Raw genomic sequence first — 24,299 nt, forward strand, 5'->3', positions numbered from 1 at the left:
ATGACTACTTTTTCATTTCCACGACATAAATCAGGTCAGACTTTTGGCAATATTTCAAGTATTCTCTCCATTCGGGGTTGAACCACAAAAGAGAGCTATCACACATCGGCCTGGCAGTCTGTGAGGTGACCTTAACACTCTGTCATGTAGATGGTACACAGAAAACAGCAAAAGCTGCTCACCTTGAACTCAGCTTCATAATCAAGAATCACGGATATCACAATAAGAACCAACACAGCAGCATCTTTTATTGAGCACATAATAGGTGCCACGGACATTGCCTATGCACTTAAAGTCAGCGGCATTATTTAATGCTCACAAATACCTAAGTTATGACAATTTTTGGTAATTATGCGAAGCGCTCCCCATGGCCAGACAGTGTGTCTGTCAGTGCTGGGGTCTGACCTTGGGCTCACTAACTCTAAAGCTTGAGTTTCTCACCACCATTTTATTCTGCTAAGTGGCCCCACCTAATTTGGGACATTTATCACTCCTTATCCCAAGGCTCAGATTTTGAAATGCCAAGTGTTTATTGTCAGAAAAGTTTGTGAGCATTTTACTATAGTTCTTGTTTTTAACATAACGTAAGGGAAATATTAGAATATCCTCTTGGTAGGTTCGACCTGATGCAGGTAAGAGCTATGGGGTGGTGAACTAAGGCTCTGCTCCCTGACCACTTGAACATTATCTTGAGTCGGGTTTCTGGAAATAAGGTACATTAGAAAGAATACAGTTATGTGTATTAACAAAATTAAAACGAATTACATGCAGCACCAAGTAATTAATAAGAAAATATAAAATATGACTTTAGGAAAATAGGTGATATATTAGTTTCCTATCACCGCCATAACAAATTACCACAAATGCAGTGGCTTAAAACAACACAATTTTTTTTTTTTTTTTTTTTGATACGGAGTCTCGCTCTGTCACCCAGGTGTGAGTGCAGTGGCACGGTCTCGGCTCACTGCAAGCTCCGCCTCCCAGGTTCAAGCAATTCTCCTGCTTCAGCATCCTGAGTAGCTAGGACTACAGGTGTGCCCCACCACACCCAGCTAATTTTGTATTTTTAGTAGACATGGGGTTTCACCATGTTGGCCAGGCTGGTCTCAATCTCCTGATCTCAAGTGATCCACCCGCCTCTGCCTCCCAAAGTGCTGGGATTACAGGCGTGAGCCACCGTGCCCAGCCAAAACAACATGAATTTATTATCTTATAGTTCTGGAGGTCAAAAGTCTAAAATGGATCTTACGAAATTAAAAAAGAGGATAAAGTGGCAGAGCTGTGCCCTGCTGGAAGCTCTAGGAGAGACTGTTTCCTTGCCTATTTTAGCTTCTAGGGGCTGCCTCCATTCCTTGACCCCTGGCCCTATATCACTGTAATCTCTGCTTCCATGGTCACATCTCCTTCTCTGACTCTCTTAACTTCCTTTTCATTAGAAAAGCTAGTTTTTTAAAGTGTGGTAAAATACACATTAAATGTACCACCTCTGTCCAGCACGGTGGCTCCTGCCTGTAATACCAGTGCTTTGGGAGCCCAAGGTGGAAGACTCATTTAAGGCCAGGAGTTCAAGACCAGCCTAGGCAACCTAGTGAGACCTTGTCTCACTGTTTTATTATTTTACAAAAAATAAAAAGTAAAATTAACCAGGCATGGTGGTGCATACCTATAGTTTCAGCTACTTGGGAGGCTGAAGGAAGAAGATCACTTGAGCCAAGGAGTCCAAAGTTACATACAGTGAGCTTGATCATGCCACTGCACTCCAGCCTGGGCAACAGAGCAAGACCCTGTCTCTAAAAAAAATGTACCATCTCAATCATTTCTAGGTGTATGGTTCAGTCACATTAAGTCTATTCACACTGTGATGCAACAGATCTCCAGAACTTTTTCATCTTTGTTAGAGTGAACTAAATATGTCCTGAGAAGGACTATGTACTTCTATATTTGAGTCCCTGTGGACGAATTGCCACCTGGTTTAATAGGTAGACAAGACTGAAAACCTAATTTAGGAGTATGCACCTGTAACAACAGCTGAGTCTTGGCCAATCCCAGAGGCCGTATTTCAACCATGAATACACTGCTGAGTGTTGAAACTGTGCTCAAATAAGGCAAACACCAACCTGTAACCAATCCAGCTGTTCTGTACCTCACTTTTGATTTCTGTATGTCATTTCCGTTTTTTAGTCTATAAATCTTCTTCCACCACGTGGCTGCGCTGAAGTCTCTTTGAATCTGCTGTGATTCTGGGGGCTGCCCCATTTGCAAATCATTTGTTGCTCAATTAAACTCCTTTAAATTTAATTTAGCTGAAGTTTTTCTTTTAACATCTTACAAAACTGAAACTCTATACCCATTAAACAATAACTCATTTCACCCAGCCCCTGGCAAACAGCATTCTACTTTCTGTTTCTATGAATTTGACTACTTTATGTACCTCATATAAGTGGAATCATACAGTATTTGTCTTTTTGTGACTGGCTCATTTCACTTAGCATAATGTTCTCAAGATTCATTCATGTTATAACATGTATCAGAACCTTCTTCCTTCTTAAGGCTGAATCATATCCATTGTATGGATACACCACATTTTGTTTATCCATCCACCCATCAATGGACATTTGGGTTGCTTTTACCTTTCGGCTCTTATGAATAATGCTGCTATAAACATGGGTGTACAAATAGCTTTTCAAGACCTTGCTTTCAATCCTTTTGATTATATACCCAAAAGTTATATTGCTGGATCATATGGAAATTCCATTTTTAACTTTTTGCTATACTGTTTTTCATAGCAGACGTACCATTTCACATCCCCACCAATAGTGCACAAGGGTCTCAATTTCTCCACACCCTAGTCAACATAACTTGGCGGTGTCTTAAATGTTTATGTTTAAAGTGTTATTTTCTGTTTTCCTTTATAATAGCCTTCCTTATGAGGTGATATTTCATTGTGGCTTTGATTTGCATTTCCCTAATAATTAGCAATATTGAGCATCTTGTTAGTCCCTTTCTCTGACTCTGACCCTCTTTCATAAGAATCTTTGTGACTATACAGGGCCCCACCTGGATAATACAGAAATGTTAGAAAACCTAGTTTATTTTTTAAATTGTGGTAAAATACAATAATCTCCCCATCTCAAGACCCTTAATTTAACTCCACCTGTAAAGTCTCTTTTGCTATGTAAGGTAATATCTTCATAGGAGATTAGGGTATACACATCTTTGGTTGTATTATTATTCTGTCTTACACAGGTGAGTACTACGCTGCCAGAGCCAAGAGAATAAAAAGTTTGAGGCCGGGCACAGTGGCTCATGCCTGTAATCCCAGCACTTTGGGAGGCCAAGATGGGTGGATCACAAGGTCAGCAGATCAAGAGCATCCTGGCTAACACAGTGAAACCCCGTCTCTTCTAAAAATACCAAAAATTAGCCGGGTGTGGTGACACATACCTGTAGTACCAGTTACTTGGGAGGCTGAGGCAAGAGAACTGCTTGAACCCGGGAGGCAGAGGTTGCAGTGAACCGAGATTGTGCCACTGCACTCCAGCCTGGGCGACAGAGCGAAACTGTCTCAAAACAAAACAAAACGAAACAAAGTTTGAAGAATTATTGTTTGGTTGATTATTTCAAATACCGTATAGAATTTGTGCAGGCTAAAATGATTGGCTAAGTTTTATGATCAGTGTCCTTTATGATAGCTTTTAGTAAATTGGCAGGGCCACACACAGAATAAGATATTGATATTTTTTATTTTAACTACTTAACTTGTGATTATAGTTACATATATTTATTTCTCCCTGATATGGACTGATTGTTCATTTCCTCATAAAATGTATAGGTTGAAGCCTAATCCCCAATGTGATGGTACTAGCAGGTAGTGCTTTGGGGAGGTAATCAGGTCATGAGGGTGGAGCCTTCACAAATGGGATGAGTGCCCTTATAAGAAGACATAAGAGCAAAATGATCTCTCCATCAGCTATGTGAAGATACAGCAAGAAGGCAACTGTCTATAAGCCAGGAAGCAGGCCCCCACCTGATGCCAGATCTGCCAGTGTCTGGATCTTGGACTTCCCAGCCTCCAAAATTATGATAAATAGTTATTTAAGCCACCAGTATACAGCATTTTTGTTATAGCAGCCCAAAATGACTAAGACACTTCCTAAAGGAGCTATTCTATTTACATTACCCAGAGCTCTCATAAGCTCAGGTTAAAGTAAACAACACACACACACACACACTCACTCACACACACACACACACACACACAATGCAACCTCAGCCTTATGACAGCTGTACTCCACACAATGTTCAGGATCCAGGTTCCTCCCAGCTCATTGCTCCATTGTCCCTAGATGGCATCCTGGTCCCTGTGGTATAGACATCATTCATGATCCAGGCAGCAAGATGGAGGGGAAACAATGAATATGATCTCAATATAAAGCAAGGGGCAAGATAGAGGGAAGTTATTAAAAGGTTATTAGAACCCACCAGTAAGAGGTTACTGGAGTCTAAACTGGAGTGTTGGATATGAGGGCAGGTCACTTGTATGCAGGGCCCAGACAAGACAGAGATGATAAACACTTGCAGCCATTGAAGCAGGCAAGGTATTGTGGTCCATGAACAGACACAAGGGAAGTGATGGTCCTAGGCCTAAGGAATGTTTGTTTTTGTCTCTGCGTTGAGAGGAGATATGGGATCCATTTAGGACAGAATGAGCTTCAGGATGCAGAGTGTTCTCCTGGAATAGGTGTCCATCAGGTGTTGAGAATTATCAGGAGAGACTACCTTTTATCCAAACCTGGAGAAAATAGGTGACAGAGGAAGATATGCTGAAACAGAGAAAATGTAAGGCAGTTCATTTCCACTGGTCTTAATCTGACTCTAAATATGAAGCAAGACTCTCCGCAGAGAGTAAGACAGGTGGGTGGAGGCCCAAATGTTCCAGGGCTTGAGGAGCAAAGAGAAAATTTACTAGGCTGTGGGAAGTACACAGAAGCAATGAGAGACTCACAGCTGATTTCACCCACTTGAAGGGTGGTCTCACCTCTAAAGGAGCAGCTCCAAAAGCAAGAGAAAGAAAATAGGAGCAAAGGAGAGGTCCATGGAAGCACCATTAGAAGGTCACTCTGGCCAGGAACAGTGGCTCATGCCTGTAATCCCAGCACTTTGGGAGGCTGAGGAGAGAGGATTACTTGAGCCCAGGAGTTCGAGACCAGCGCTGGCAACATAGCAAGATCTCATCTCTACTAATAAATAAAAAGAAGGGCATTCTGAAAGCCTGACTCAGGGTTTGTAGTTACTAAATAGAGTCATCTACTGAGGACACAGCAGACAATTTCAGACAGAAAGTATAGTCAGTAACCCGAATAAAGCAGCAGGGTATGTTGGTGTACACTGGTATACTCCTGTTTTTTATTTTATTTACTCAAAGAATGTCAGTGTCAGCACACGTCAAATGTCAAAGGAGTTTTTATCCCAGAAACACAAAGCTAGTTTAATATTGGAGATGGGCTAATGTAATACATATAAAAAAACAGAATAAAGGGAAAAAAATGGTCATCTCAATGGACACTAAAAGATATTTAATAAAACTGCATGCCCATTCTTTAGAAAAAGGAACATTACAAACTAGTAATAACTTTTATGAATTTGTCTGATAGAAATATTCACAGATATACTCAAAGATATATGAGCAAGGATTTAAAAAGAAATAAAAGGCCAGGAGTGGTGGCTCATGCCTGTAATCCCAGCACTTTGTGAGGCCGAGGCATGTGGATCACGAGGTCAGGAGATCGAGACCATCCTGGCCAACATGGTGAAACCCCATCTCTACTAAAAATACAAAAATTAGCCGGGCATGGTGGCATGTGCCTGTAGTCCCAGCTACTCAGGAGGCTGAGGCAGAAGAATCGCTTGAACCCAGGAGATGGAGGTTGCAGTGAGCCGAGATCACACCACTGCACTCCAGCCTGGGTGACAGAGCGAGACTCTTGTCTCAAAAAAAAAAAAAAAAAAGAAAAGAAAAAAAAACAAAAGGCAAAATGACTAGAAAGTGGGCAGCAAAACTGTGATCATTTGCAGATAAAAACATTTTTCCATCCAGAAAATCCAGGAAAATAAACTACAAAATCATCATATTTCCTACAAAACAAATAACTGGTTAGAGATGTAATATATAATACGGGAAGTTCCCATTCACAGTAGCTACCTGTATTAGTTTGCTAGGGCTGCCACCACAAAACACCACAGATTGGGTGGCTTAAACAGAAATGTGTTTTCTCACAATTCTGGAGGCTGGAAGTCTAAGATCAAGGTGTTGGCTTTCTTGTGAGTTTGGTTTCTTCTGAGGCCCTTTTCCTTGCCTTGCAGATGGTATCTTCTCACTACATCCTCAAAAGGTCTTTTCTCTGTGTGCAGGCATCCCTGGTTTCTCCATGTGGCCTAATCTCCTCTTCTCATAAAGACACCAGTCAGATTGGATTAGGGCCCACCCTAATGACCTCATTTTAACTTAATCACCTTTTAAAGTTTCTACCTCCAAATACAGTCACATTTTGAGGTACTGGGGATTAGGATTCAACGCATGAATTTCGGTGGGGGGAAACACAATTTAGCCCGTAGCATTCCCAGAATATATACAATACCTAAATACAATCCTAAAATGTTATGTAAAAAACATACAGGAAGGCAGCTACACCATAAAATTTTACTGAAAGACATAAATGAACATTTGGATAAATGGAAAAAAATGTACCATGTTCTTGGTGGGAAAGTCTTAGTATTATAAAGTTTCAATAAAGTATCAACTTATTCCAATTACCTTACTGGTATAACACAATTCTAACCAAAAGCCCAGCAAGATTTTCTTCAAACTTCTCACCCTTTCTTTTTCATTTCTCTTCCATATTTCTCATATCACCTTTAATTGTACACTTTATTTCTGAGTGTCCCACCATCAGCTCAGACTCAGCCTCTTTCACCCCAAATCAACCTTCTCAACCACACTATATCTGGCAATGGGAAACCATCACACTATCAGTCACCCAGGATAAAACCTCTGACTTTAAAAATTCTGTCCTTAACCCAGGTAGAAAGTCAGTCCTGTGTAGCCCTTCCTGTTAAAGTTAAAACTGCAAACCTTAGCTCCATTCCTGCCTGCCTTCCTTACTTCTGCACATCATCATCATCTAGATTAATCTTTCTAAAATATGATTTTTATTGTTATTTTTCAAGTTCACAAATACTGTAGTCGATAACTCTACTGGGTGACCTTGGACAAGTTAGTTAATCACTGTACCTCAGTTTTGTCATCTATTAAATGGGGATAACAGTACTTACCTCACAGAGTTGTTATGAAAATTAAAAGTTAATAATTTTAAGGCACTTACAACAGGAAGAATTTTATATATATTGTTATATAAATAAACATTGTCCCCACTGTTTTATCTGGTACTTAAAGTGTTCATTTCTGTGGGTTTAAGCATTGTACTCTCTTTTCAAATGATTATATTCAGAAATACTTGAATGTTTTATCCATGTACACAGGTGTCGATTACAGCATTATTTTTAATACAAAAGACTGAAGACAATCTGAATGTCTATCAGTAGAAAAATGTTTAGAAACATTTAGAAAAGATGGTGAAAGCTGGACACATTGGCTCACACCCGTAATCCCAGCACTTTGGGAGGCCAGGGTGGGCAGATCACCTGAGGTCAGGAGTTTGAGACCAGCCTGGCCAATATGGTGAAACCCTATCTCTACTAAAAATACAAAAATTAGCCGGGCGTGGTGGTGGGCACCTGTAGTCCCAGCTACTGGGGAGGCTGAGGCAGGAGAATTCCTTGAACCTGGGAGGTGGAGGTTGCAGTGAGCCAAGATCACAACACTGCACTCCAGCCTGGGGCACAGAGCAAGACTCCACCTCAAAAAAAAAAGATGGTGAAGTCATACTACGGAAAACTATGGAGACAAAGGTAAATTTGTAGATAAAAGACACATCTGACATGAAAGGATGGCTATAGCACATTGTTGAGTGAAAAAAAAAAGCAGGTTGAAAAACAGGAAGTACAATATGCTTCTATGTATAATACATTCAATTTGGGAAGAATAGGATACATATGAAGCTGTTAGAAGACAGAAGTCTCTTATCAAATGAGGCAGTATGATCTTCCTACAATAAACGTGTAACTTTTATATTAAATATTGTTAATTGAAAATAAAGAAATAGAAAGGAAAATAAACTAAAATACTGTATGTTTAAAACTTCTGGCCAGGCACAGTGGCTCATGCCTGTAATCCCAGCACTTCAGGAGGCCGAGGCGGGCGGATCACGAGGTCAGGAGTTCGAGACCAACCTGGCCAATATGGTGAAACCCCGTCTCTACTAAAAATACAAAAATTAGCCGGGCGTGGTGGTGTGCGCCTGTAATTCCAGCTACTCAGGAGGCAGAGGCAGGAGAATTGCTTGAACCCGGGAGGCGGAGGTTGCAGTGAGCCAAGATCATGCCACTGCACTCGAGCCTGGGCGACAGAGCAAGACTCCGTCTGAAACAAACAAACAAAAAAACTTATCTCCTGGAAAACTCACTTATTAAAAGATAACTAGTCCTTTTGCCTTTGATGCTCAGGTAAACTTCAGACGAACTAAATGAAAATACTTGTGGATTTGGGGATGAGCGGGAGTCAAGTGCTAGAATTTGCTTAGCAGCTTCTCTTCCACCAATAATGACTTTAAACATGTTGCAAACTAGCCCCAAATGCTAACCTACATTTTTAATCTGAGAGGTATGCGTCATCAAATATTTTGGTTTTATCCCGAAAGTCAGCTAACAGAGATGTAAGTACCTGGGCAACTCTAATGGAATGAGAAGCAACATCTTCCATCTTAAGCATTGATAAGGGTTAAGGGAACAGCTGCTCTTTGCAATGAACAAATCTCACTCTCTGAGGCAGAAATTCGCCATATAGAAGACTGAATTTCTTCATCTTTTTGAGAATCATTTCCACTACCCAGAAAAAACATTCAAATGAGTTGTAAATAAAGTCAAGCGCAGTTGAAAAATCCTGTATCCACAGATGTTTCTTAGGAGTGCCTATGCGCTTAGACTCGAGGGCTAGGGGTTTGAAAGCAAAAGGCAGCCCTCTACCAGGGGTGGTCGGGGAAACGGCCTCCAAGAAACGAATTACACGGTGCACTTTAGTTACCTAGGCAGCTGTTTGTCTAGGAAACAGCTTATTGTTTTCATTTGTCATCACCGCGGCTCACTAGGTATCAGGAAGCTCGGCTCCAGCCGCTACCTGGTGACGCTAATGACGTGCGATGTCTCGCAGCTGCCGCAATTAGACAGGCCAAGCCTTCGCCTTTAAGAAGCTGACTCACGTGGATGCTGTGTTGTGTGCGCTCAGCTGAAAGGGGGAGGTGGGTCCCCAGACTGACTACATTGGCCGCCTCGAGAGAAGGGGCAGAGTTAGCCTCTTTGATTGGCTGTACGAGTCCGAGGTGCTGGGTCAGGGGCGGGGCGAGCTGTCGCAAGCCTGCCCTGGGTCTGCGGCTTCTGAGAGGGGTGGGCCGCGAAGCGGAGGGGTGCGGGAGTGGGGGAGGGTGAGCCAGAGAAGGGGCGGGGCCCCGCGAAAAAGGCAGGAGGCCGAGGACAGGGGCGGGGCCTAGAAATAAAGGGCGTTCTGGGCCAACCGGGAGAGCTGACTGCGGGGGGGCGGAGCCACGCCGGGTGACTGACGTTGAGGCCCAACCAGGGAGAGGCGGGGCCAAGGCCAGGGCCTGACTAAACCTGGAGACTCGGGTGGCCGAGGGGCTTCATACCAGCTGAAGAGCGACAAGCCGCTGGCAGCCGCGGATCTCACCGCCGCTCAGGGTGAGTCCCGCGGGAGGGGCTGGACTCGGGGCCGGTGGGGACTGAGGCGCCCGTTCGGGTCGGGCGGCTTCGAGGCACTCGGGAATCGGCCCAGGGTGGGGGGCCCAGGCAGGAAGTGCCTCTTCCTCGCCGCGCTCTTCCCGGGGTCCCAGAGCGGCCGCCCCAGATCCTTCAGGGTGGGCCCCGGCGCTGGGACCGCGGGCGGACGCGCGGGGCTGTTTGCTCTTTGTGAGGCCTGGCGCGGCGGCCGCCGTCGGCCCGCCCCCGCCGCGCAGCCGGGCGACCGGTGCGACAACAGCCGCAACCCCTCCGCGCGGCGCCCGCGCCTCCGCCCCGTTTCCCCGTCGCGTCCTCCGAGGCCCGCCGCCGAGGCCCACGGCGCCCCCTGGGCGGACGGTCTGGCCGCGACCCCCAACCCGCCGCGCCGCGCCGCGGCTGCCCCGCCCCCACCCGTCGCATAGTCGGGGGCGCGCCCGGTCTCCGCCCCGAATCCAAGTCGGAACTTGACCGAGTTGTTTGGGCCGCGATGACCGCACGGCGTGAACCGTCCTGAGCAGGGCCCACGCCCGGCCCAAGCGGCCCAGCCACCGGGCTGGGGCGGTGTCTCCCTTTGCCCCCTCCCCCCCATGAACGTCCGCCTCCCCCGCCCTCCTGCCCAGAGGACCCGGGACTGACAGCGCAGGGTGACGGTTGGGCAGCCCGCCGGGTGTCGGGACCAAGAGAGCCCCCCGGCCACCCGCTCAGCTGTTTCCTGCTCGTGTTTGTTGTGCCGAGGGAGGCCCCGCCGCCACCGCCGCCGCCGCGCTCTGCCGCCCCGGTCCCTCCCGATTGGCCGGCTGGCGTCACGTGGCCTCCATCAGCTGGGCCGGCGGGGGCGCTCGCGGGCCCCACTGCGGCTGCCGGGTGAGCCCACCCGGGGGTCGCCCGGGCCGGCCCAGCTCCGCCAGCTTCGGGCTGCGGCCTTCCCTCCGCTTGCAGTCGGGAGGGTGGGCGTGCCCTTGCAACCCCTTTCCTGTACCTTCTCTGCAGGTAGATGGGACAAATGAGTGTCCGGATCAGCGGGAGTGGGAAATTGAAATACTACAAAGATCTGTTTAATCCTGATACCAACTAATCTCCCTTTCAAGGGAGAGTCTGGGAAGCTGTACAGCTCATTTATTTTTAAACTTTTTCTGTTTACAGAGATCTGTTGGTAATCTGAGGATTTTTATTCTACGTCGTCTTGACAGATGGAAAACCTGAAGTAACTTCGGGCTAACCTTGTGTTTTTGGAAAATTAGTAGACTTGGTGGTGAAGAAACTGGGAGGAGTAGGATATTAGCTAACTTTGCATAGCCACATATAGAGCGTCGCAGCTGCATTCCACCAAAGAGGAACCAAAAGGCCTGTGGTGTTCCCAGGGTACATATTCATGCCAGAAGTGAAGTGCTTTGGTGAATTCGTTTCCTGAAAGTTTATCGCATACTTGTACTGGGTTAGGTAAGAAGTAAAGTACAAAGAATTTAGAATAGTTTCTCTAGAAGCTTATAACTTAATCAAAAGTCGTGGACAAAGTCGAGCAATAATTTTAGCAAGTTATGAGACGTTAGTAAAATATATGTAGCTTGGAAAATAATGTTACCTGGTTGGATCATTGCGAACTTTTCTCTAGACTAATTTCCCTTTTCTGTTTTCTATTTAAGTAATGAGAAAAATAAACAGGTTTAGAAAAAAGTGAAAGGAAATAAGGCCAAAAATTATGAAAAGAAGTAATTAAAGCAGCTACTACCCTCTGAAAAACAGTCCACGAGACATGAAGGTAGTCCTAGGTATATGTGTGCCTAAAATATCATTCTAGGTTTAATGGTGAATAACTATAGAGATCAGTGTCAGTTTTAAGATAATCCTGTGTAGTAATGTCAGTGTAATGCAGGAACTGAACCTTAGCTAGACCTGAAGTTGCTACTTGACACTTGAGTCGGGAAGCCAGACAGGTAAATTACACGTCAATCCATCTAGTTAGAGGCTTTTGGTATTGCATCACAACAAACGAGACCATGAAATTGTCTTGCTAGGGTTTAGCGGGGGATGACCAACTCAGATTGTGCACTAACACACAAGGTTTCCTGAGTGAAATGACTAGTCTTATTTTCTAATATTTAAATATAAGTGTTATTGAAATATAGTGAACTTGAAAGTCATCTAACAAAACAGGAAAAAATAAGGCATTATTGAGGGGGGAGAACAAAAATATATCCTTAAAACGTACTGCAAATGAAGACCTGATTCCACAACAGGACATCATTTGACACAGCAAAGTAAACTGGTCACGTACTGCAAGAGGAAAGCAGAGCTTGCTTGTGTCACTGAAAACTTAGCTTGTTATATATTTTGCACAAAAATTGGAAAGTTGATTGTATGGATCAAACTGTTTTCCCATGTAGATTTTTTAATAGCGTTTAGTCACAACTCAGTATAAAGAGTTGATGAAATTACAATAGCAGTAAGTGCTGATTATTATAGTAATCAACCCAGCACTCTTAAAAGTTATTTGGGTTTTTATCCTTTGTTTTGGCGAGGGAAGAGATTAAAAACGAGATAGGAAAGCTGGCTTCCACGGGATTCCATTTTAGCAGAGTCATTGCGAAACAAAACCACCTCTGCAAGGGGCAGGTTCCTTTAACCCTTTCTGCGCTAGATGCCTGCATACTCAGTTCCCTGCAGCAGTCTTTGTACCTTGCCTTTGTCCCATCTTCTGATGCAATGGAAAACCCACTGTGGTCTGTCCAACACTGGGGATCTGGTGAAGTGTGTATTCTATGGAAATGCCCTGAGGCGATGGTTTCATTTACTAAGGAAAAGTTTATCTGTGAACTGGGTGTTTTTCCGTCAGAAGGTTCTATGAGATGCGAATAGATACCTACCCTCCCTGGTATTTTTAGGGCTGGGAAGTGGTGCCTCCCTTGACTAATTCCACTTACCAGGGTTGAAACCAAACTGGATTATTAATTATAGGGACAACAAGTACCTATTTTAAGACCCAGAACTGTGACATGCTTCAGAAGGTTTCTAACTTTCCTCCAGCTTCTGATTTCTATCACCTGGTTGCTTAGCTTTAGCATAATTAGCAGGAAGTGAAGCCAGTTAATTGTTATTGTTTCATATCCTTTGTGAGCCATGCTTTTCTCATCTGTCATAGGGTGAGTTGGGATGGGGAATGTTGAAGAAGATAATCTAGTTTTACTGACCTTTATTGAGCATTCACTGTGTGCTAGGCACCGTTCTCAGAATACAGTATCTCCACTTAATTTCTCATAACTCAGAGGTGGCTGCTGCTCTCACCATTTTACAGATGAAACAGGAGAGGATAACTCACCCAGTGTTTCCAAAGCTATTAAGGGGGAAGAGCTGAGATTTGAACCTAGGAATCTCCAGAATTCAAGTATCTGAGCTCCACAGTTTAAGTCCTGGGGGTGGAGAGAGGAGAGAGCAGCTGGTAGATATTATCTATTTTTATAATCTTTATTAGAGTTGATCTTCAACATGCTGAACTGGTTACGGAAAGTTAAGGATTTTAGCTAGAAAATCAGTAAAGAAAAGGGGAATGGGATTAAACTGATCTTTTCAAATACTCCTATCTAGCTTTAATCCCAAATGCCAACCAAGTTTCCATTTTTTCTGGGAAAGACTGCTTTCTAAATGCAAAGCTCTTTCACTATCAGAATGTGTTTTTAAGCAGGGAAAACTTTTTTTTGGTAAAGGGCCAGGTAAAAAATATTTTAAACTTTGCAAGCCAGAAGGTTTCTGTAGCAGCTCCTCATACCTCTTCATTGTAAAGTGGAAGGAGTAAAGTGTAAACAAATGGGCGTGGCTGTGTTCCTAAAAACTTTGACACTCAAGTGTGAATGTCATATATCTTGTGTCAGAAAATATTCTCCCCTCCCCCCAACCATTTAAAAGTACAAAATTCATTCTCAGCTTGTGGGCAGTACAGAAACAGGTGGCGAGCTGAATTGACCCACAGCCTTCCCAGCTTTTAAGGAAAACAGTCAGCAATGAGCCAGACAAGTGAACAAGATACCGTATTTCGCTTGATAGTGTATGTGTAAAATAAACCAATAGTCTTTTTAGAAAATTGTTTTATTGATGTGGAAGCAAACTAGGAAATTATGTAGTCCATCATATCCATCATGCATTTTAAAATAATGCATTCCTGGAGACTCTTTGGCTCTGAAGAGAATCATCTTTTTTTTTCCCCTCTTACAGATTCTGTAATTAAAAAAAAAAATTCTGTAACAAGGCAGAGATCCTAAAATGTTATTAATATTTCACCAGAGTCTTCTGATAAAAGAGAAATTGGAAGTTGTAGATAGCTAAATATGCTATTGGTGAGAGAGGGAGGAAATTGAAAATAATACTAAAGTACGATCTATGAAATTATCTATAAATTTCACTTATATTTTCATCCCAGCCCCTCACTGTTTCAGGTAATTTCAAATAAACTAAGAATAGTCTTCCAGTTAAACAGTCAAGCTTGGTACTTTTCTTATTCAACCTTTTTAGGATTTTTATAACCTGGACCTACAAGAAAATAGTACCAAAGAGGCCTTATTTATAACATGATAAGGTAGGGAACATCTTAAATAAAACTTAAGCTTTATGATGAGTTTAGCTCTCATTTCACTATAAACTTGAACTTCAGCACTGACATGTACCAAAGCCTGTGTGTTGCTACTAAAGGACACAGTAAGCTGCCCCCAGAATCAACACCAAACATTAGCTGTCTGTGAAAGCAGCTCACTCTTAAGATGTTTTAGAAATACGGGGCTGAAGAGATCTGGGATTACTCTAAGTCCAAGCAAGGTGATTAGCATACTTGGGAAATATTTTGAATATAAAAGCAATCAGACAGAAAGCAGATCAGTGGTTGCCAGTGGCTGGGAGTTGGAGAAGGTATTGGCTCCAGGCTGGTGTGTGGGAATTTTTGAGGGGCTAATGGAAGCATTCTAAAGCCAATTGGTGGTGATAGTGGCACAATTTTATAAATTGACTAGAAGTCATTGAATTGTACACTTGTAGTGAGTAAACTTTGTCATGTAGAGTATTCCTTAATAAAGCGGTTTTTTTTTTCTTTTTAAAAAATAACCTGCAATTTTCTATTCTGTCAGAAAAAAGTTTCAAATTTTATAAAGGAGCAGTCTCTATGAGCTTTTAGAAATGGGCGGCACATGCCTTTGACCATATTTTTGTAGCTCTATGTAGCAGAAATGAAGTGGTACGTATGAATGTATGTTGGGTTTAACAGTCACACTCGCTGACCCTGAAAGTTTTATCCGGATGTGAGGAGAGTTTGAATCTAATACAGTGATGAAGGGGAGGGAGGAAAACTTCCAAAAGTGATTTAGGAAGTCTTGTTAATTTTGCAGTTTTTTAAATGACTTACTAGGGTTTCTAGTTTAGGAGAGTTTGTGATTGCAGTTGGCATCAACCAAGATAGGGAATACAGGAGGAACAGCATGGAAGCAGGAAGGGCTGATGGTAAACCCTGAGGGAGAGAGTAAATCTGATAGCCCTCTAATCACTAGAGAGATAATAGAATGCAGTGGCTTGGCCACTTCTGGAAAGTCACAGTCTCTTTAATTCATCTATAAAAGTGAGGTGATAAATACCTACTTTAAAAATTGTCAAAATTAAATGCGGTATGTAAATACCAAGTACAGTGTCCCATACAGTGTAGATGCTAAATAATTATTAGGTCTAAGGCAGAGTTCAATATGTTATTCAGGTCCAGAGAAGCCTGATTCAAGTGTTATATCTTAGTATCTTAGCTTTTTAATGACTGTCCTTTGTTTTTTTTTTTTTTTTTTTGGTTTTTTTGAGACGGAGTCTCATTCTGTGGCCCAGGCTGGAATGCAGTAGCACAATCTCAGCTCACTGCAAGCTCCGCCTCCTGGGTTCATGCCTTTCTCCTGCCTCAGCCTCCTGAGTAGCTGGGACTACAGGTGCCCGCCACCATGCCCGGCTAATTTTTTTGTATTTTTAGTAGAGACGGGGTTTCACAGTGTTAGCCAGGATGGTTTCGATCTCCTGACGTCGTGATCCGCCCACCTTGGCCTCCCCAAAGGGCCGGGATTACAGGTGTGAGCCACCGCGCCCGGCCTTTGTCCTCCTTAAATAAGTGGCTGTCTTAGTTCCTTCTGGCTGCTCTAACAGGGTACTATAGACTGTATGGCTTATAAACAACAAATTTATTTCTCCCAGTTCTAGAGGCCAGGAAGTCCAACATAAGATTCAATGTCTGTTGATGGTACCTTTTAGCTTCGTCCTCACATGGTGGAAAGGAGCAGGCAGCTCTCTGGGACCCTTTTATAAGGATAGTAATCCCATTTTTGAGGGCTCTGTGCTTGTGACCTAATCACCTGGTAATATCACATATGAATGGTGGGGGCTACACAAACATTGAGACCATAGCAGTGGCATTTTAATGGATGTCAGCCTCTTGAGAGTTTGAATAGTGTCAGTGTTAGGTTGAGTTTCTAACCCTGCAAAGGCCAGGGCTACCTCTTGGAGCCTAAGGACCCTACAGAGGTTTTTCTACTTCCTAAAGACCTTTGACAGCAAGTGATGTTTTGCTTGCTTCTGCTAGATCCTGTGGCATTCTAACTTATCTTTCTTAGCAAACAAAAACTACATTCTACAGTTCTATATGTATAATTCTCTATAAATGGCAACCACAACTAGGAATAGTGTAACATAAGGTTTTGCTCAGATATTTTTGGTCTTGGTAATGAATCATATAATTGAATCCAGTAAAAATACTTGGGTAAAGAGAAAAAATAGATGGAATCAGGGGAAAAAGGCATGTTAAATGTATTTACCCTCAGTAGGAAATGATCACAGTAGTTTTTAGCCAAGGATAAAATGATGTAGGCAGAAGGCATAGGGAAAGTTCACTTTGAAGTCCAGCGCATTTACCACAACCGTATGGTGTCACAGTGGTCAATGTAGATACAGGTAGTTACTCTCCCATTACGGTTGAAATAAATTACAACATGAATATTGTATTTAAAAGTCTTAAGGGAAATTGGCTTTAAAATAATGAATCCCAGACCCCTAGCTGGAGGTTACAAATGACTGCACAAATACTAGTCTTCAAAGACATACAGAATCTGAGGCCTATACCTCAACGGCTGAGACTCCAAAACCTTGCTGTTGATTCCCTTCTGTTAATGATCAAGATTCAGAAACATGACCAAACTTAACTGCTCACAGGTTTGTTGAGTGTTTTATTTATATCAGGAGTCATACATTCAAATATTGGTTCAAGGACCAAAGAGGTGAAGTAATTGTGTGAAGCAAAGTGGAGACTGAGCAAATAAAATGGCCTGGTGAGGGTTAGGGGGTGCAGGTCACTTGTAGTCAGTTGTTGCCATAGGAGAATATGTGCCCTCCCCATTGTTAAAAAGAAATCCAAACTACAGGCTCTTTAATGAGATCTTCCAAATTTTAAATGTCATCTCAACTTTTTAAAATGAAGATTAAAAACTGTGTGACCCAAATAAAACAGACATGTCCACATATGTTTTTTAGGGAAGGATTTTTGTATCTGTTCACTGCTGTATTCCTAGGCTACCAAATGAATTCAGCCTGTAGGCCTCGAATTTGCAACTTCTGACTTATATGTAAATAAATAATAAATGTATTTTTTCTTTTTTGAGACGGAGTCTTGCTCTGTCACCCAGGCTGGAATGCAGTGGCATGATCTTGGCTCACTGCGACCTCTGCCTCCTGTGTTCAAGCCATTCTCCTGCCTCAGCCTCCCGAGTAGCTGAGACTACAGGCGTGCGCCACCACGTCTGACTAATTTTTGTATTTTTAATAGAGACAGGGTTTCACCATGTTAACCAGGCTGGTCTTGAACTCCTGACCCCAGGTGATCCGCCCACCTCAGACTCACAAAGTGCTGGGATTACAGGTGTGAGCCACCGCACCTGGCCAAGTGTTGTATTCTTAATCATCTGGAAAAAAATAATGCGGTAATCTTAAAGGCTGAAATAAGGCAATAAGTGTTTCCTTTTGTTGTTTTATAGAAATGTAATTAGAAAGTTAAATATTATAGCTTAAGTCTGTGTTTTAGTGCAAGGTTCATTGTGATGCTTGTTAATATGCTGGTTTTCCTTTTACTAGCTGCACATTGTCATTATATTCACCATTTGTTTTTTATTCCCTATTAAACTTTCATAATGTTTAAGGGGAGTCATAATGATTTTTGTGATAACATTTCTAGTGACATTAAGACCGCCTAATGGCTGGGGAAGTTCATAGACCTAGAAGGAATGGAATTTCCTTTTAAATTTGTAATGGAATTCCCCCAATCTTAAGACAACAGTAGATTCTCATTATGAACATGCATTCTGGATTTTTTTTTCCACAGTGGCAGTTACATTAGCTCTGCATGCCATTGGAAAGATGTATAATAAATATTTAAAACACAGGCGCTGATAACTATACCTGAGAATAAATTATGTTTTAAATTAAAACTGTGGTATATTCTTGACTATATCTAGATCTTTAAGAATACTGTTTAGGATAATTAGTTATGATGGATTTAAGAACTTGCATATAGTAACTTCCCTAACTTTTGAATGTTATAAAGTGTTACCCTAGTTTCAGACATATGTTTCAAACTTACATCTTTTCAGTGTTTCAGCACTTTTATGATTTATTGAATCAGTAAGATTTCTTAAAGATAATCAAGTTATGTATGGGAAAGCTTATCTTTCCCTTATTCTGTTCTCATTGCTTTAGCCTTATGCCAGCCTGGACCATCTTGGAGGCAGTGTAGGATCATGGAAGAACTTTGAATTAGGTGAATTGCATTCTGTACTTTTCTGTAGTTAACAGCTTTGTAACCTTTGACCAGTTAATAACCTTTTTAGCCTTGACTTGGATGATCTGTGAAGTGATGGTAACAACCTCACAGAGCTGTGACAATTTTGAAATAAGTACCTAGTAACAGTGCTCCCTAGACATTGACTTAAAGTTAGTCATCACCTCTATAGTTGTAGATGCACCTGGTGATCACAGACCTACTCACTCTGTGTTCTCAAACCAGACTACTCTCTTCTTGTTTTCTAATTGCCCCTTTATCTACTTGTATCCCACTGAAACCTCACAATTCTTTTCTGAAATTATACATGCTCAGAACGTATACTTAACATTTATGCTAAACCTTTTTTCTCACCTCTCTGCCAGTGCTTTACATCATTCATTTTCTGAAATTCCACTTTCCATTTTCTTTTTCCACACCAGCCATAAGAGAAGTGACACTATTCTTTGGCCTTGGCTAATAGGTTTACTTCCTTGGCTCACTGCTTTAAAATCTTCTTAGCTTAGGCATGCCTGTTTATTTGTTCAGTGTGTGAACTTTGGATCTTTTTGTTCAGGATCAGCTATTTCACACATCGAGTACTACAAAGCAGAGATTACATAAATACGTATACAAATTGTTCTCTATGACACCCCCCAAGTAGGTGCTAACATGATTATTATAATGCATTTGTTATCCTTTTCTATTTGCTCCTAGGTTTTTAGAACTTCAGCCATAAAAATGGGCAGAATTTTCCTTGATCATATCGGTGGTACCCGTCTGTTTTCTTGTGCAAACTGTGATACGATCCTGACCAACCGCTCAGAACTCATCTCCACTCGTTTCACAGGCGCCACTGGCAGAGCATTTCTTTTTAACAAGGTTAGTGAGAAAAAGTTTGATTCCTAAGTGGGCTTATTGGCTGTATTTGACAGCAACACCAGAATACCCCCTCAGAGCTTAGAGATACCAGGAAGAGTCAGAATGAGAGCTTGAAATCTACAGAAATGATTGCCCACTAGCTCGTCTTTGATGGGACCTTAGGAAGGTGTTACTAGGATGTGATTTTAACCTTGGAAGTTTGAAGAAGTAGGCTGGGCACAGTGGCTCATGCCTGTAATCCCAGCACTTTGGGAGGCCGAGGTGGGCAGATCACGAGGTCAGGAGTTCAAGACCAGCCTGGCCAACATGGTGAAACACCATTTTTACTAAAAATACAAAAATTAGCTGGGCGTGGTGGTGTGTGCCTCTAGTCCCAGCTACTCGGGAGGCTGAGGCAGGAGAAACACTTGAACCTGGGAGGCGGAGGTTGTGGTGAGCCGAGATAGCGCCACTGCACTCCAGCCTAGGCAACAGAGTGAGACTCAGTCTCAAAAAAAAAAAAAAGTATAAAGAAGTGTGATCTCTGTTGCCTCAGGAAATGTTCAGTGTAAGAATTTGGTAGCAACTTCAGCACAGACTATGGAAGGAACAGGTCAAGATACCCACCTCCCTTTCTCCACATGTCACTGGTTTATCCATATAGGGAGATGGTGGCGTTAAACTATTATAACTTGACAGCGAATAACGATCATCTAACCAACTTTTCATGCTCTAATTCATGCTCACCAATCATCCTTCCATGGATTTGCTGACAGGAAGAGTGTTTTTCTGATTTGCAAGTGTGTGCCCAGTCTGCCTGTCTCTCTAATTTCTGGCTTGCTTTCAAATTGGATGCCGTGATTCTGCCTCCCGGAATCTGGTATATAATAGAAAAGTTGAATTTCCAAGTATTTTAGGCTAAGGAACATAGCTAGTCTAGGGTACTGTTCTTAGAAGATCAGATGAACTTCCCCAGTGGGCACTCCTCTGTTCCATGTAGAAGCAGCTTTTCTCAGAATTGATGGCTCATACTCTTTGACATTTATTTTGGTACAGAGGAGGGCACACTGCAGCAGGACAGCTGCCTGTTTTGGTAAATGTAATGGAACACAGCTCTGCTTGTGCATTACGTATTGTCTACAGCTTCTTTCATGCTACAGTGCCAGAGTTAAAAAGTTGCAGCAAAGACCACATAGCCGTCAAAGCCAGAAATATGTACTATCTGGCCCTTTACAGAAAAGGAAAGTGTAGAAGATTGTTGGGTATTCAGAATCAGTGGAAATTCATTACACATTGTCTCAGACCCACTTCATTGTGTTCATTGTCTTTGAATTCACTTTAAAACTATGTACTGCAGATGTATGGTCTTTAGTAGGCTTAATCTGTCCCAGTCTATATATACAGTATATTTTCAGAAACAAACTGACAGACTGTTTTATGGAATAACTATGGTGCATTAGGTTCTTTTACATGGATTGTATTATTTGCACTCATCATTGAATAATGATGAATTACTACAACTGGACCCAAACCTACATTTTATGGCTCCAATTCCAGGACTTTTTCTTACCTGCAACACAGAAATGTAACTAGTATGTTTAAATAGTGTGACTTAGGCTAGTACGGTAGTGCATGATTGCATTAGATGTCTAGTGTAGTGCAATTTCCAGATGTCTGCCTGCCCCAGCAGCTTCTAATAAATAAGTCTTGCGTATTATAGGTTTGACTAAACTAACAAGTTCTTTCTCCTTTTCTGAAGTTGCTGTTGCATTAACCATAATATTTTGTACATACTTGGCAAATAACTAACATGCCTTGCAATTTTGATTTTCCTTGTCCCTTGTTAGGTAGTTAACCTGCAGTACAGTGAAGTTCAAGATCGGGTCATGCTCACTGGCCGCCACATGGTTCGAGATGTGAGCTGCAAAAACTGCAATAGCAAACTGGGATGGATCTATGAGTTTGCCACTGAAGACAGCCAGCGATATAAGGAAGGCCGCGTGATCCTGGAACGTGCTCTAGTTCGAGAGAGTGAGGGCTTTGAGGAGCATGTACCATCTGATAACTCTTGAAGATACAGAGAGAAATCCATCTTTTCCCAGGTCTCCTTCACTGAAAACAAAAATCTACTTACATACACTGTCACCTTAGCATCAGAGTCGGATTAATGAACTGCGGAACAAGAGGTTGTGAGAATCTAAGATGGAACCTTTCTTTCTTTCTTTCTTTTTTTTTAAATTTTGTATTTTCCATCCAACAGCAGTGTGTAGAGAGAATATTATGCAGATGCCGTTAATTTTTTACCCTATGTTTACATCTTGAGGCAGCAGAGTCTGTCTGCAGCTATGTGGTGAGCTATGTAAGGAAAAAAATCTGGGCTGTTAGAGTGAAAAAGTGTGTTTTATGTCAATTGTGAAAGGAAAATGTTAGGAGTATGGTTTTTAAACTTGGGCTTCATTTTAAACTTTTTTTTTTAAACCCAGTTATTTCACTTGATTTGCTAGCTTCAGAGAAGAGATCCGAATCTGTGCCCAGCGCTAAAGGCTCAGTGTTAGCATGGCTTGTGCTGGCCGGTGTGCCATATTCTTGTTGGAGATGAACCGTAGCACCAGAGCCCATTCTTCCTTGTCAGTCTTGGCCCAAAGATGTCACCATTCCTAGTTATTTGTCACCACATAATTGGTGTTGATTGGAAACTTTTTCTGAGATGGGACAGAACTGCTGGGTTGTCTTTTTCCATGTAACTTAAGCATAGTAATATAAATAAAGTAATAGTTGGATGCTTTTGGTCCTGTGTTGCTTTTAAAAACACCTTATAAAAGAGGAGAGTATTTGATAAGCAATTTTCATAGTAGTAAAGTTTTTTTTCATCTCTTAAACTAAATTGACCATGCATATAATATTCTTTGTTTAAATGAAAGCATACTGTTGAAACCCGCAGTGTTGCATTTAGAAAACAGTTGAACAGAATGTCAATGTGCATTCATGCAAAAAAACATTTAATCTGCATCTGTTTTAGAAAAGGGGGAAATGAAGCAACTTGTCTAAAAATACTGCTTTACAAAGCATTTCAGCCTTTCCCCCTCAGTTTTGCATTGATTTTTTGACAAGTCTGTAGAGCCTAATAGTTTCCATCAAAGGCCTAGATCTCTTATTTAGCATTTTTTTCAGCTCTTCTCTCAGAAGTTCAGCTGTTGAAACGAAAACTGTACTTTGTACCCTCACATACAAAGGGATCAAATTTGACCTGGTGTTATTTTAGCCCCAAATTTATGACATTACACAATATTAAAATGTAAATGTTTCTTTACCCAAACTACTTCTAGATATTCTAGTATTTGCTTCTGGTGGAATTAAATGACGGTAAAATTGGCTAATTATTTGAATGAATGAATGGATGGATGTTTTGCATGCTCAATTTCTAGGTCCTTTGTCTAGAAAGGAAATTTGCCTCAGTTGAATTAGTGAAATATTTCTGTCGTTGATATTAAAAGTGACTTCTGAGTACAGTTAAGTTCCTCCTATTTGCCACTGGGCTGTTGGTTAGAAGCATAGGTAACTGATTAAGTAGGTATGATACTGCATTTGAAATAAGTGGACACAAACTATCCTTTCTCCACCATGGACTCAATCTGAGAACAACAGCATTCATTTCCATTCATTTCCATACTGGCTTTTGATTATATGCAGATTCCTAGTAGCATGCCTTACCTACAGCACTATGTGCATTTGCTGTCACAATAAAGTATATTTTGTCTTGCATTGATGCAGTACTGCTGCTTATTTTCCACTGATCTTGTCTAGTGATCATCTTAATTTTTATCTCTGAACACATACTTGGTATCTTTGAGTACCTGTAGCTTTCTTCATTTGGCAATGATAGTGATGTCTGACTTGATTAACTGCCTAATTCACACATGAAGACATTGACTTTGCCAGTATTAACTTCTCTGAGATCATTTTGCCTTAGATACTGATAACTATAGTTCAGTATATATAAACAAAAAAATTTCATATTACTAGGTTAACTTTTAGGTAACTGGCAGGTACCAGCAGCAAGCTCCTCTGTGCCTTTTAAAAACTTCCATTTGCAAAAAAAAAAAAAATATATATTGGAAGGTCTACTTTGGATTATTTACAGAAAACCATTGTTATTTTGAGATGGGGATACTAATTAATAGGAATGATTTTTGCTTTGGGGTGGGAGAGTTAAACAAGTAGAGGTGAACTTAGAACTAAGTAGGTTACTGAGGAATATACAGATTTAAGCTTTTTTTCCCCTGACCGAAGAGGAAAATTCTTCCTCTTAGTCTTAGGTGACAGTAACCGTAAGTTGTTTTGATCTTAAAGTGCTTTTATTTAGACTCTCAAGTGAACATTCCTGGTAAAAATAATTTTAGTAATTATGTGAAGATTTAAGTTACAGTTAGGAGTTGTTACTTTGGGATTGGAGGAGAAAAATATCAGTACCATCTGTTTCCTAAATTTGCCTACTCATAAAGTCATATAGGATGTTTAAATCAGAGTCTGGGCCCAAGCCCAGGCTTAAGTCAGTCAACAGGTAATTTTTGGTGGGGCAGAATTAAGAAACTACCAGTTGTAAAATATTCAGACATGTTTATGATGATTCATTTCTAAACATCAGTTATAAAAAAATCTCAGTTTAAACAGATATCCACTAATTGTTCATCTGTTTAACACCTGTTTCCTACCAGGAGCCATA

At 41.6% G+C, this 24,299-nt stretch overlaps 1 protein-coding gene across 12 annotated transcripts, besides 3 other annotated features; it reads left to right on the plus strand.

Moving 5' to 3' along the window:
- Positions 9,416-9,995: a silencer, noted in NCBI's record as "silent region_11321". NCBI's record gives its function as "represses an Ori minimal core promoter by ATAC-STARR-seq in GM12878 lymphoblastoid cells {active_cell/tissue: GM12878}" and the evidence as "EXISTENCE:reporter gene assay evidence [ECO:0000049][PMID:35858748]".
- Positions 9,812-23,338, plus strand: YPEL5 (yippee like 5). 12 transcript variants are annotated; one of them, NM_001127401.2, is made up of 5 exons: positions 9,812-9,867; positions 11,050-11,346; positions 18,655-18,715; positions 19,433-19,597; positions 21,424-23,338. In NM_001127401.2, the coding sequence occupies exons 4-5, from the start codon at positions 19,457-19,459 to the stop codon at positions 21,646-21,648; spliced, it is 366 nt and encodes a 121-aa protein (NP_001120873.1). In that variant the 5' UTR covers positions 9,812-9,867; positions 11,050-11,346; positions 18,655-18,715; positions 19,433-19,456; the 3' UTR covers positions 21,649-23,338. The 12 variants fall into 12 exon arrangements, with proteins under 12 accessions (NP_001120873.1, XP_016859807.1, XP_047300698.1 ...); XM_017004318.2 differs by having other exon boundaries at positions 11,050-11,268; XM_047444742.1 differs by having other exon boundaries at positions 11,050-11,110.
- Positions 10,026-10,195: a silencer, noted in NCBI's record as "silent region_11322". NCBI's record gives its function as "represses an Ori minimal core promoter by ATAC-STARR-seq in GM12878 lymphoblastoid cells {active_cell/tissue: GM12878}" and the evidence as "EXISTENCE:reporter gene assay evidence [ECO:0000049][PMID:35858748]".
- Positions 10,486-10,925: a silencer, noted in NCBI's record as "silent region_11323". NCBI's record gives its function as "represses an Ori minimal core promoter by ATAC-STARR-seq in GM12878 lymphoblastoid cells {active_cell/tissue: GM12878}" and the evidence as "EXISTENCE:reporter gene assay evidence [ECO:0000049][PMID:35858748]".
- Positions 23,339-24,299: the final 961 nt, after the last annotated feature.

Source organism: Homo sapiens, chromosome 2 (assembly GCF_000001405.40).
Source record: "Homo sapiens chromosome 2, GRCh38.p14 Primary Assembly".
NCBI classification, from domain to species: Eukaryota; Metazoa; Chordata; class Mammalia; order Primates; family Hominidae; genus Homo; species Homo sapiens.